General features: G+C 38.5%; 1 long non-coding RNA gene across 1 annotated transcript in view, besides 1 other annotated feature; it reads right to left on the bottom strand.

Annotated features, from left to right (window-relative positions):
• LOC105375725 (uncharacterized) overlaps positions 1-14469 on the bottom strand; it is a 51661-nt gene that overhangs the window by 20367 nt on the left and 16825 nt on the right. Inside the window, exon 2 of the long non-coding RNA XR_928585.3 lies at positions 13504-13605. This is a non-coding gene — a long non-coding RNA (uncharacterized LOC105375725). The remainder of the gene's footprint in view (positions 1-13503; positions 13606-14469) is intronic.
• Positions 12655-13854: an enhancer, noted in NCBI's record as "MED14-independent group 3 enhancer chr8:120181673-120182872 (GRCh37/hg19 assembly coordinates)". NCBI's record gives its function as "activates an origin of replication core promoter dependent on BRD2, BRD4, P300/CBP and CDK7 cofactors, and independent of MED14, by STARR-seq in HCT116 cells {active_cell/tissue: HCT116}" and the evidence as "EXISTENCE:reporter gene assay evidence [ECO:0000049][PMID:35650434]".

The following is a 14469-nucleotide window of genomic DNA, read 5'->3' as shown; positions in this document are numbered from 1 at the left end:
GGCATATTTCTACTTTTATTTAAGTCTAACTTAATTTCTTTCAGCAATGTTTTGTAATTACCAGTATAGAGGGCATGCACATGCATTGTTAAATTTATTCCTATGTATTTAATTTTTTGATATTATTATAAATTATGATGTTTTTAATTTCGATTTTCAATTGCTCACTTCTGGCATGTAGAAATATAACTAATTTTAGATTTTTGACCCTGTAATCTGTGATCTTTCTAAATACATATATTAGCTCTAATAGCTTCTTTTTCCAGGTTTCTTAGGATTTTTTGTAGGCATTATCAGGTCTACACATACAGTCTATTTTATTTCTTCCTTTCCAACCTGTATGTCTTTTACTTGTTTTATTGTTATATCACACTGGCTAGGACTTCCAATAGAAAGTCCATTTGAAGAGGTGAGAGTAGAAATTCTTTTGAGATCTTCAAAGAGAGAATATCAACTTTCAATCATAGAATATGATGTTAGCTGTAGTTTTTTCATAGATGGCCTTTATCATATTGAGAGATTTGCCTTCTACTTCTAATTTGCTAAGAGTTTTTATCAAAAATGTATGTACGATCTTTTCAAATGCTTATTCTGCACTTAGTGAGATGATCATATTGGTTTTTACCCTATTATGCTATTAATATAGTTAATTATACTGTTTGATCTTTTAGAGTAAACCAAGCTTACACTTGTGACATAAAACACATTTGATCAGTGTTGTGGGAAGTCAGGGACCCCAAATGGAGGGACTGGCTGAAGCCATGGCAGAAGAACATAAATTTTGAAGATTTCATGGACATTTATTAGTTTCCCAAATTAATACTTCTATAATTTCTTATGCCTGTCTTTACTGCAATCTCTGAACATAAATTGTGAGGATTTCATGGACACTTATCACTTCCCCAATCAATACTCTTGTGATTTCCTATGGCTGTCTTTACTTTAATCTCTTAATCCCATCATCTTCATAAGCTGAGAATAAATGTTGCCTCAGGACCCTGTGATGATTTCATTAACTGCACAAATTGTTTAAACAATATGAAATCTGGGCACCTTGAAAAAAGAACAGGATAACAGCAATCTTCAGGGAACAAGGGAGATAACCTTAAAGTCTGGCTGCCTGTGGGCCAGGTGGAACAGAGCCATATTTCTCTTCTTTCAAAAGCAAATAGGAGAAATATCACTGAATTCTTTTTCTCAGCAAGGAACGGCCCTGAGAAAGAGAATGCGTTCCCAAGGAGAGGTCTCTGAAATGGCTGCTTTGGGAACGTCTGTCTTTTACAGTTGTAGATAAGGGATGAAATAAGCCCGGGCTCCTGTAGCGCTCCCAGGCTTATTAGGACGAGGAAATTCCCGCCTAATAAATTTTGGTCAGACTGGTTGTCTGCTCTCAAACCCTGTCTTCTGATAAAATGTTAACAATGACAATGTGTGCCCGAAACTTCATTAGCAATTTTAATTTTGCCCTGGTCCTGTGATCTCACCCTGCCTCCATTTGCCTTGTGATATTCTATCTTGTGAAGCATGTGATCTCTGTGACCCACACTCTATTCGTACACTCCCTCCCCTTTTGAAAATTGCTAATAAAAACTTGGTTTTGCAGCTTGGGGCGTATCACGGAACCTGCTGACATGTGATGTCTGCCCTGGACACCCAGCTTTAAAATCTCTCTTCTGTGCTCTTTCCCTTTATTTCTCAGACTGGCCGACACTTAGAGAAAATAGAAAAGGACCCACGTGAAATATCAGGGGCTGAATTTCCCCCGATAGATCGGGTGCAGGATACTCTTTATATATTATATTACTGAATTGTATTTGCTAATATAACATAAAGGAGTTTTGCTCCTATTTTCACTAGAAAGAGTTTTTGGTACAGTAGTCCCTCCTTATCCATGGAGGACTTGTTCTAAGATTCCCAGTGGATTCCTGAAACTGCAGATAGCACCAAACCCTATATAATAGACTATGTTTTTCCCTACACATACATGCCAATGATGAAGTTCAGTTCATAAATTCACCACCGTAAGAAATTAACAGTAACTAAAAATGGAACAATTGTAACAACATACTGTAATAAAAGTTATATGAATATGTCCTATTTCTCTCTCTCTCTCTCAAAATATCTTATTGTACTGGTCTCACCTTCTTTTTTCATGCAATGGTATGAGATGACACAATGCCTAAGTAATGAGATGAAGTGAGGTGAATGATAAAGGCGTTGTGATTTAGTGTTAGGCTACTATTGACCTTCTGACAATAAGGCAGATGAAGGATCATCCACTTGATGTGTGACAGCAAAACTAGCATGAACTTCTTTTTCCTTCTTCACAATTTCACTGGGAGAAGATTCATTCATACAGTAGCTTAGCAACCTCGCATATTTTTTTCTTTCCATATTAAACCAAGACCTTTCACCTTTTCACTTAAAGGAAGCACTTTATGGCTTCTCTTTGGCAAACAAAAAATTGCCAGCATCATTACTCTTGCATTTTGGGACCATTATTAAGTAAAATGAGGGTTACTTGAGCACACGCACTGCAATACCACAACTGCCTGACAACCCAGATGGCTACTAAGTGACTAACAGTATACAGGATGGAGACACTGGGCAAAGGGCTATGTCACATCCAGGGAGGATGGAGCTGGATGTTGCAGGGTTTCATCATACTAAGAATGGCACACAATTTAAAACCTGTGAATTGTTTATTTCTGGAATTTTCTATTAAATATTTTCAGACTGCAGTTGACTGTGGGTAACTGACTCCTCAGAAAGCAAAATTGAAAATAAGGGAGGACAACTGTAGTTTTCTCTTTTTGCAGTGTCATCGATAACAATGTAATTTTGGCCCTATTAAATGGCTTGGGAAATGTTTATCCTTAATTTTCTGAGAGATTTCTTGTAGGATTGGTATTATTTTCTCCTAAGTGTTTGACAGAATTTCCTGGTGAAGCCATTCAGACCCAAAACTTTCTTTGTGGGAATATTCTCAATGACAAAATTTTAAAATATAAAGAAATTTTAAAATATATCAATTTCATCAGTGTTTCAAATTTATTGTCATGAAGTTATTCATAATGTTTTTCTATTATACTTTTAATCCCTTTGGGGTCTGTGGAGACATATTCTCTTTTATTCCTGATATTTGTAATTTGTACCTTTTCTTTTTTTTCCTTGTTCAATCAATATAAAAATGCATTATTTCACTGATCTTTTAACATCTTTGGGTTTTACGTGTTTTCTCTATTATTTGTCTGTTGTATGTTTCACTGGTTTTTGTTCTTCTAATCTTTATTATTTTCTTCCTCTTAAATACTTTATTTTTTTCTAATTGTCGAGCTATTGAATGTCTTAATTATTATTGAAGTGTGGTTCCTGGACTAGCAACATCAGCACCACCTTGCTAGTAATGTAAAATTTTTAGCCCTAATCCAGACTTACTGAATTTAAAAATCTAGATTTAAGGCTCAGCTATCTGTTTTAACAAGTTCTCAAGGTACTTCCGGCACATGCTAAAGTCTGAGAACCATTGTACTGGAGCAATTCTTTTCAAACTTTCATGTGCATATGAATCACCTGGAGATCTTGTTTAAATATGTTTTCTGATTCAGTAGTCCGAATAGTGTCTGACGTTCTAAAGCTTTGATAAGCTCCTTGGCACTGCTACTGCTGCTGTTTTTCTGACCACACTTTGAATAACAAGGAACTACAGATCTAACTTATCAGCCAAGGAATCTTATGGCACAAGAATGTTTATTTTTTAAGTAACTGCAAAATGATAAGCAGACTCATTCTGGAATTTCTGCATTGAGGCTCTTATTACTGAATACACTATTCACAAAAAATATATATTTTAGCTGGAAAGGGTATAGGAATTTCTCTAAATTTCTAAATCCAAATTTCAAGAAGGAGAAACTTATTATAATTAGTAATAAAAATATAATATCATTTGCTGAGAATATTTATTATGTGCTGGACACTCTGGCTATTATCCCTTTAATCCTCACAATCTCTCTAGGAGATCAGAATCATTGTTTTCCCTTTTTTATATTTCTTATTTTAATCTCTCCAACTGAAACGCAGATTACATTAGTTGTCTGATGCTATCCAGCTAGTAATTGGCAAGGCTTTTTCTTAAATCCATTTCTGTCAAATTCAAATCCCCATACTACAATTTCTGTGCTTGTTCTTCAGCTTTTAGTATTTTCATTTGAATACAACTTTAATAACACACACATACACACAAAATTAAACTTACTATGTATTGGATTACCATGATTAATATAATAAATCTGAGTTAAGCATGGGTTACAAGTTCATGCCACCTGGCACAGGGCCTGTACTCTGAATCCATTTCAATCAGTTTTAAATAACAGCCTCTTTACCAGTCTTCTGTTGCTTAAAAAAAGTCATGTACTAACACAGGCATTGTATTATTTTCTTTAGGTTAACTTAGAAAAGCCGTACTTTTATTTTACTTAGAGGGAGGAGGTCTATCTTGGCAAATAAAGGGAGAACTGTGAAGTGACTGGCAAAAAGTGGGAGCACTTCATATATCGGGGCTAAAGCTACACCATCGCTATTTCAAAGTCATAGCTCCTTGATTGGGAAATTGGAGTGGCTGGATTGGGAAATCAGTGAGGAGTTCCAGGGAGGGAAGATGGGTTACATGGTATATGTGCATTGTGGTTTTCTTAATCCCTCTCTCTTGTTTGCTTGCTTTCTCTCTCTCTCTCTCTCAATCTCTGCCTCTCTGTCAACAAATGCAAGGAAACTCTTTTCTGGCATTAATTACTCTGTGGCCTGAAGCATGAGATTTGATCATTCATATCTTACCTTGGATCAGGAAATACATTATTATTAGTTAAAATTTATCTAAATAAAAAATAGCAAACTATCTTTATGATCTGTAGTTTTGGCCGTTACATACTGAATTTTAAAAATATGGTAACTGCCACTGGAAAAACTCTTTCCTTATAAAACTTATTCAAACCCCGCTTTCTGTCTATCTCAGACTCTTTCATCAATACAGTGATCACCAGTACGAATGGCCCTAGGTGAAGGATAGCCTAGATAGTTTATCTCCTAAAGTTTTTGTTTTGTTTTGTTTTGGTTTTAACATAATGGAATCGCTCTCTTTCTCTCTCTCTCCTTTAGTAAACGTTAGCCATGTTCCTGCCTGGAGGTAAAAGGTAGGCTAAATGCCCATTCAGGAATCTCATAGTCTTGTAATTTTCTGACAATATGCTTAAACCAAATTTACCCACAAATGTATTTTTTACTGTCTGTATTCAATTTGTTAAAAAAAAAAAAGTAGATCTAATTTGATCCTAAGTCTTTAATAAAAACAGAGAGCATGAGTACTTCATCATGCATCTCTTTATGACTTAATTTGGAAAAATAAGTCAATATTTAAAAAAATACTAAATGGTAGAGATAAGGAAAACAGAGCAGCTTCTAAAGATTTCTCTCGGTAAAGGATATGATAAAAATGACTGGCAGGCTTTGGATTGGAGAGTGTGACAGGTGCTTCGGAACTGGGAAGAGACTGAGTCCTGCCAGGGCTATATTTGGCAAATAGGCGGTTTAGGGGACAAAATGGAGCTTAGACACTACAGCCAGGTGAGCAGTTCTCAGCTGGCCCCAAACCAAAGAAGAAGTGTATCCAGGTGGGTAGGCAGGAATCAGGAGGCTACAGACACCCAAGCGCAAAGTAACATGAGGACTCCCAAGTGGAGAGGGCAGGCAGCCATAAACTGAGAATGCCACTGGGAGGGAAAGGCAGAGCCAGCCAGCGAACTAGAAACTCGGCAAGCTGTGTGAACACGGGTGCCAACAATGAAAGACCTTGATAACAGAGACCCAGCCCTGTTTATGATGTAGTGGTAAAGGCATGAGCCGAAGAATCTGACCTCAATTCCCTCCCCCATCATGCTCTGTGACCCAAAGCAGGTTTCTATGGCTCAGCTTCTAGCCCATGCCCTAGTGCCTGGCACAGAGAAAAAAGAAATGAATCACCATGAAGCTCAATTTCTCTCACATGCAGAATAGGGATTTTTACCTACCTTGCAGGGTTTCCCTAAGGATCACAATGAATGTAGCAAAGTTATCTGAAAATACCTAACATGCCTTGTAACAGGTGCTCCATAAATAGTACTTTCCTTTCTCCGTTTCAACAACTGTCTTCCTTATTCACTATCAGCTGGGGCAGGGAATGAAGACAACAGGTAAAAGGGTGTGACTCACGCACTTTGAAAGGGAAGTGAGAAGCAGGAGAGAAGGGCTCACACTAACCCAGGGGTTAGGCAATCACCTGGGAGATGTGGTCTATTGAAATTGTAGGCATCTTTTAGAAACAGCTTCCAGCTAAAAATTCCTGTTGGGATCAATATTGTGCCATATTTTTGATTTTGAAATAAAATAACTTACTGTTTTGAAAAATCCTTGTCAGTTTCTGTTTGTGATCTCTTGACCTTCTTTTCATTGATGGGGTTTCTGCTAGAAGGAGATGGAACACTGGTGGGAGGTGTGTACACGTGTGTGACAGCAAGTAAGGAGAGAGAGAAGAATCATTTTAAAGCTGTGTTCGCAAAGCAGGTATACTGTTTTTACTTAGATAATACGTTATCTGGGACAGGATGTCAAGGGTAGGGGGTGATAACTTTCCTCTACAAAAATTAAATTATGGGCTGGGCACTGTGGCTCACGCCTGTAATCCCAGCACTTTGCGAGGCCACGGTGGGTGGATCACGAGGTCAGGAGTTCGAGACCAGCCTGCCCAACATGGTGAAAGCCTGTCTCTCCTGAAAACACAAAAATTAACCGGGTGTGGTGGCACACTCCTATAATCCCACCTTCTCGGGAGGCTGAGGCAGGAGAATCAGTTGAACCTGGGAGGCGGAGGTTGCAGTGAGCCGAGATCGCGCCACTACGCTCCAGCCTGGGCAACAGGAGTGAAACTCCGTCTCAGAAACACACACACACACACACACACGCACACACACACAATAAACTTATGATCATACATTCCTGTGGTTTTAAGTCTTGGTGATCCCACATCCCCTCCTTGTCACACCGGTGATCTAAGAATAAAATCCAAACTCCTTAATAAGACAGAAAAACTTTCTGTATCTAACCCACACATTCGGTGTAGCTTCATCAGCTCTTCTCTATTCCTCACACACTAGACTGAAGCCAAAATAAATGATTTGAGGTTCTAATTGTGTCCCACATTCTCTCTCGATCTTTGTAAATGGCATGCATCCTATCTGCAATGTTTTTCTCTATGCACCCTATTTACCCTCAAACTCCTACTTCTATTTTACATCCAAGTTTGGAAGTTGCTTCTTCCAGGAAGTCTCTGCTGAATCTCCTATGGCTGACCCAAGTGCCTTCCTCACCATGTACTTCTGTAGTACCCTGTGCTTATTTATAAATATGCAGCAAAAAATTACACTGTGCATTCATTATCTAGGTAGTAATCTTTATTTCACAGAAAATTCTGGATGTGTGAGAGACAAGAACTTTCTAGCCAACCCTGTATCCCAAGCACTTAAAAGGTAATCACTATTTAATAAATATTTGTTAAGTAAATGAAGGAACAGACTGACTTTGGATGGGATAAAAAATGCCCAGAAAACAAAAAAAATGACCAAAAGCAATTTTGGTGCTAATAAAGCAATAAAGCATATCCTGGAGCAGTAGTAACTTCCAAATAAAAATAATTTGAAGTTGCATGGAATGTCAAGGAAAGCCTTTATTAGGTAGCAGTGTATCATTATAAAATCAGACTTCTATGAGCATGTACATATATGTGTGTATGCTTCCGTATAAACCTATTGGCATTATGAAAACAATGACTAAAATTACTCAGAATGATAGAGGCTTTCATGAAGCTCAAATGAGATAATGTAATGAAACATTAGCATTGTTACTGGCACATAATAAGCAGCCAATAAATGGTAGGTAATTATATCATTACTGTTATTATTTACGTCAGTTAAAAGCTCAGTTTCCTGAATCCTGTACTGCCCCATCCATTTCACTTATATTCTGGTGTTGTGTATATGAAGTGACAACATTGCCAAAGAAAATGTCAGAACTCTTCTATCCAATTTTATCTCCACTCATTCATGATCCAGTTTGAAGCTAAGAGTGTGATACTCTGTTGGGCTATTGAAAAACTGTTTTCCATTGTTACTGGAAGAAGCTGCACTCCTGACACTGTGATTGTTTGAGAATGTGAAAGAACAGATCTGCCACATGGATGGTACAGTGCATTGCATTTGAAACCTTCACAACTTTTCTCAAGGCCCTTAACCACTACCCTCCCACTTGTTTTTTCTAATATATTTTCTGCATCCACCCTGCCTCCCATCCCAGTGCCTGAGACTTTCTTCCTGAAGGCCCCTCATTTAATGCAAGCTCTGTATTTCACCCCGGGCCGGTTTTCCAGACATAAAACTTTATCAGAAAACCTTGTCCTTTGCATCTCAGATTTCACCTTTTCTTAGTTCTTTTCCCATTAGGGTCTAAATTTGCCTAAGTCTCTCCTATCTTCGAAAATAAAAACAGGTGGGGCACGGTGGCTCATGCCTGCAATCTCAGCACTTTGGGAGGCCAAGGTGGATGGATCATTTGAGCCCAGAAGTTTGAGACCAGCCTGAGCAACAGGGTGAGACCCTGTCTCTATAGAAAATTTAAAAAATTAGCCAGGCGTGGTGGTGTGCACCCGTAGTCCCAGCTACCTGGGAGGGTGAGGTGGGAGGATCACCTGAGCCCCAGGGAGGGTTAAGGTTGCAGTGAGCCATGATTGCACCACTGCACTCCAGCCTGGGCAACAGAGAGAGACCCTGTCTCAAAAACAAAACAAAACAAAAACAAACAAGCAAACAGAAAACACCAATCTCTCTCTCTTTCTGGCTATTAACATGATTTTTTTTCTTTTCATTGCTGCACACTTCCAGAAAAAGAGGCTTGTATTTCCAATTGTGATTTTGTCATCTCTTCTCTTCTTCATCTATTTCAGTCTGACTTCCTGTCCTGCTATTCCACTCCACTGCTCCTGTTAAGGTTTATCACTAAATCTAACGGTTAAAAAAAAAGTTCACTGTAGTCTACCTCGGCAGTATTTAATTTATTTCCATGACTCCCTTCTTTCCTATCTTTCTGGCTGCTCCTTTTTAACATTCCTTGAATTTTGGTGTTCCATGGTTTTATTCTTGAGCCTCAACTTTTTTTTCAGTCTATGCTCCCTAAGAAAGCTTATCTGTTTGCACAATTTTGACAGCCTCTGCCATGCATGCAGATAGTTTCCCAATTTATATTTCCAGCTGAGCTTGTTTCCTGAACTCGCATATATCTAATTGCCTACTAAATATATCCATTTGGGTGCTTATGGGCATCTCAAACTCAAACTGTCCAAAGCCAACTTCATATTTTCTCATAATTTTGCTCCTTTTCCTGTATTACATATCTTGGTGGATAACGCTATTACTGACTCAGTAGATAAAGTTAGAAACCCTGCTCTTTTAATGCAACATATATTCACTAAGTCTCTATAATATGTCAGTTGTAGAATTCAGAATTATAAAGAAATAGTCATCGTTTCTCAGAAGCTGGAACTCTAGTTGGGGAGATGTGCTTACTAGCCCCATCTAATCCATGTTGGAATATCACTGAATTTGTCTCTTTACTATCTCTCAGTCAGTTATCTCCTCTTCAATCCTGGTGAGTGACCTATTTTTAGATAAACTCTTTGCCATCTTTACCCTGTAGAAAAACTTAATAACTGTTTTTTCCCTTCTATTGATATTCTTCCTTCCAATGTATTATTCTTTCTGCTCTCAGTGGGAAGTACTTAGTACTCTCTACCCTTGATATACCCCCTTACTCTGTTTCTCATACTCTGAAATCTTAATGATCTCAGACCCTCATCTACATAGGAACCTCATCTCTTGTTCAGAAAGGATTTGAGTCTGCCATAATCTCCTGGGCTTTGATTCATATTGCTAACACCCTCCCTAGTCAGTGTTTTCCCTTTGACTCAATCTATTGTTGGTCCCATCTTGGACCTATCTTTTCATTTTATTCTTTTCTGTGGGATATATCCCGTGATCTGGATAATGAAATTTACTTCTGTTGACTCCATTCCCAAAGAACCATATTATCCTTTGCTGACATCATATCAAAATTTCAGGATCAGGTTTTGAGGGGAAAATGATCCTATGAGAGTCAAATCTAGACATATTGTGTTGTGAATTGATGGCAAAGTTCATATACCTGCAAAAACTTTGTTCATGATTCCAGGGTAGACTCTTCACTCTAGCAGGTGCCTTTGATACCTACATCACCATGCTTTGGCTCATTTCTATACCAGTCACAGATGCTGGGAGAGGTTCTCTGCCAGTTCAAACTCCCTAGCTTGTTCTGATATCCTTTGACATCATGTCCCAGGGCCTTCTAATCCTGAGGGGTGTTCTCAGCCTGCACAAATGCCTCCCCGTAAATGTGAGGGAGTGAATACTCACAGACTCAACTCTCAACCATCAAGATCTTGCTTCTGGATGATAAACTCTCCAGCCTCCCATCTTGCAGGTTCTTAAGGGGTCATAGCAAAAACTAGTCTATTCATCCACAGCAGTAATTTCGAAACACATTTATATTGATTTTTTCTTCTTCACCATCTCATTTTCCCTACTCCTTACCTTCTGCTTCTTGAGATTACTACCAAATAAAACAATGCTTTGAAGTATTTGTCCAAGGCTCTTGTCTTGTGGGAAATTCAAATGAAGACATTTATACATTTAAGATCATGTAATGAATCTACATGATTAATGACTCTATACATCTAAGCAACATTTTGTTCAGTTACCTGTTCTGGACTTAGGAACATCTTAGGTTCCAGATGTATAATAACAATAATGGTGACTAATAATGTTATATCTGAAAGATAAGAGTAGTATGGATCCAAATCATACTCAGTTTTAGCCCCTTATTTCAGTCGTTTACCAAGAGGTCCTCATGAGGCTTTTGCTTAGTAGTATTTTTAGATGAGTAAAAAGCCAGTTTTTCAGGTTAGAGTTAATATATACTATTAACTTGAACTGATAGCATTGTTACCCACTAGATAACTATGACAGAAATCCTAATACAAGTGGAAATCATTTTCTGATACCACATTTAATTAGTTTTAAATATATTTCAAAAGGATTTTTTGGAAGTGAAATGAATATACCCAGGGGCCAGGGACTAGACTGCACAGAATCCAAGACCCCCTCAGTTCTAGGATAAATAATGGCAACCGGCCTTTAGCCAGTCTTCCTACCCTGTCTTGTCCTCCTCTAATCCTTTTTTTCCAACATGGTGAACAGAGAGAGCTTTCTGAAACATAGAACCCATCAAATCATCCCCCTGCTTTCAGACTTTCAATGGCTGGCTTCTCATTCCCATAGGATGAAGTCTACTTAGCATAACTTATGATGTTCTTTATGAGCTATTCCATGCATACCCCAACAGCCTCCTCTTTTACCTTATCTCCACCATTATTTTTACTCTAACTTCAACCCAGGAAACACTTTTCCTAAGTCTTTAAATATGCCACGCTCTCCTTTTCTTGAACCTTTGCACAGGCTCTAACATCTGCCTTGCTAATATCCTTCCTTTTTCTTCATTTGGTTCATCTCGGTTAAGGTTGTTATATCCTCCCAAATTACTTTGCTCAGCCCCCAAGACTGGATCTTCATTTGTCCTCTAACAACAACCCATTAACTTCTTTTCTTGAAATTAATTAGCTTTCACCCTTTGTGTAATAGGCTGAATAATGGTTCCCAAAGATATCCAGGCATTAATTTCTGGAACCTGCGAATGTTACCCTTGCATGGCAAAAGAGACGTTGCAGATATAATTAAATTAAGGACCTTGAGGTGAGAAGATTAAACTGGATTATCCAAGTGGGTCCTAAATGCAATCATAAGCATTCATATAGGAGAAAGAGAGAGGATATTTGACACATAGAAGAAGGCAATGTGACCATTGAAACAAAATCCAATGCTGCTGACTTTAAAGACAAATGAGGAGGTCCACAAGCCAAGCAATGCAAGCATTTCAGCTCTAGAAGCTGGAAAAGTCAAGGAAAGATACTCCCCACTAGATCCTACAGAGGGAGCTTGACCCTGCCTATACATTGATTTTGCCCAGTGAAACTAATCTTGGACTTTTGACCTCCAGAACTGTGAGAAAATTAATGAGTGTGTTGTAAACCACTAAGTTTGTGATGATTTGTTACAATAACCAAAGGAAACTAGTTACTGTAACAAATCATCACCCAAAACACTTATGACCCAGTCATTTGGGTTCCATGAGGAGAGATTTTCCTTGAACACTTCTGGCCTCTTGCCCCACCCGTATCCCTTTGAGCTTAGTGTATGGGTAGATGCTATTCCCTGCCATAACACCCTTTACTTACCCCTCTCCCTGACAGCATCCCTGCCTCATTACCTGGATCATCAGCTTTGTGAGGACAGGGTTCACCTTTGTCTTACTCATTTTGGCATCCTTAACTTTTTGCCTGGGGCATGACATTATAATGAATTGTATGAAATTCAACATATTAGACTACTATGACTTGAATGTGTCCTCCAAAGTTCATATGTTGAAAACTTAATTCCAAATGCAAAAAGTGTTGAGAGTTGTGTGATAGTTAATACTGAGTATGATCTTGATTGAAGGATGCAATATGGATCCTGGGTGTGTCTGTGAGGGTGTTGTCAAAGGAGATTAACATTTGAGTCAGTGGGCTGGGGAAGGCAGACCCACCCTTAACTGGGTGGGCACCATCTAATCAGCCGCCATATATAAAGCAGGCAGAAAAAACTCGAAGTGACGAGATGGGCCTAGCCTGCCAGCCTACATCTTTCTCTAATGCTGGATGCTTCTTGCCCTCTAGTATCGGACTCCAAGTTCTTCAGTTTTGGGACTCAGACTGGCTCTCCTTGCTCGTCAGCTTGCAGATAGCTGATTGTGGGACCCTGTGATCACGTAAGTTAATCCTCTAAGAGAACCTTGACTAATACAGGGTGGGATCTTTAAGAGGTGATTAGGTCATGAGAGTTCTTCCCGCATGAATGAATTGATGCCATTATTCTGGAGGTGGGTTAGTTATTGAGGGAGTGGACTGGAGTAGACTGATAAAAGGATGAGTATGGCCCTCTTCCCTCCCTCTCTCTCACCAGCAATATGATACCTTTTGCTAAGTATGACACAGCAAGAAGACTTTCCCCAGGTAGGCCCTTGGATCTTGGATTTCTCAGCCTCTAGAACTGTGAGCCAAACAAAAATCTATTGTTTATAAATGATCCAGTCTCAGGTATTCTATTTTAGCAGCACAAAATGGACTAAGACATAAATCACTGGCAATTTTATAATATTGAACCTAACAGTTCTCAACAAAGGTGCATTAAATATACATATCTAAGGAGAAGAGTATTTTAAATGTCAGGGACTTACCTTGAACCCAATTTTCACCTCCTGCAGTTCTCTAATCAGAAACAGATCACGTGTATGAGGAAGTTCCACTGCTAGAAGCCATTTTTCCTGCAACTTCTTGCCCTGTGAATAAAATAGACACACCTGGATTGTGAACAAAGACAGACTTATAAAAAGGAAGTAGGAGTATGCATCTCATCCTATAAAGTGTTTTTCTAGAATTATTTCATTAATCCTGCCAATGGCCCTGAAAGTATATGCTATTTTTATTCTCATTTTACAGATCAGGAAATCAAGACACAGAGGTTTAAGTAGCTTGCCCAGGGTTGTGTTTCTGGCTAGTGACAGTGATGAGATTCAAGCTCAGTGTGACTTCAAACCCATTGCCTTTGAAAACAGTAGTCTTGGTAGAGGCATTAGCAGCCCGAGGTAACATGAAAAACTAGTGTGTGTGTGTCTGTCTGTCTGTGTCATATGGAAGTCTCTGAGGTATAGGATACTAGCTAGGGAGGGTCCGTGTCTTGAAATTCATGAAAGGAATTCCTAGAGCAGCTGAACACAGCAAGCCTCACTTTTTATGAAAAGTACATGGTTCTGCTGATAACTATTTATCCTGCAAAGTAGTAAGTTATGTTTTCTGGAAGCATAGGAGCTGAAAAGTATTGCCAGAACACTGATATTTTACAAGGCCTGTATGTTTAAACAGTTCATGAAGGTCATGGGAAACAAAAGGCAAAGAGAATGGGTCTGTTTGAAAATAAAATAACTGTATACCAAGCTTGTTTGGGGTACTAATACATTATTAAGGTAGAACTAACACATTTAAATTATTATCCTATCATTGTAAATAAGATTTTAGATCCTATTTGTATTGCGAACAATTTCCTAAAATCCATTACTTGGCCAAATCAAACACGTTTTGGTGAAAATATGATAGGTGAGTTTTGAATAATAAAGTTGGTGGCTGTATCTCTGCCTTTCTTGCAA

Source organism: Homo sapiens, chromosome 8 (assembly GCF_000001405.40).
Source record: "Homo sapiens chromosome 8, GRCh38.p14 Primary Assembly".
In the NCBI taxonomy this organism is placed as follows: Eukaryota; Metazoa; Chordata; class Mammalia; order Primates; family Hominidae; genus Homo; species Homo sapiens.
The sequence above is the reverse complement of the archived record's forward strand: the minus strand, read 5'-3'. Positions and strand labels throughout refer to the sequence as shown.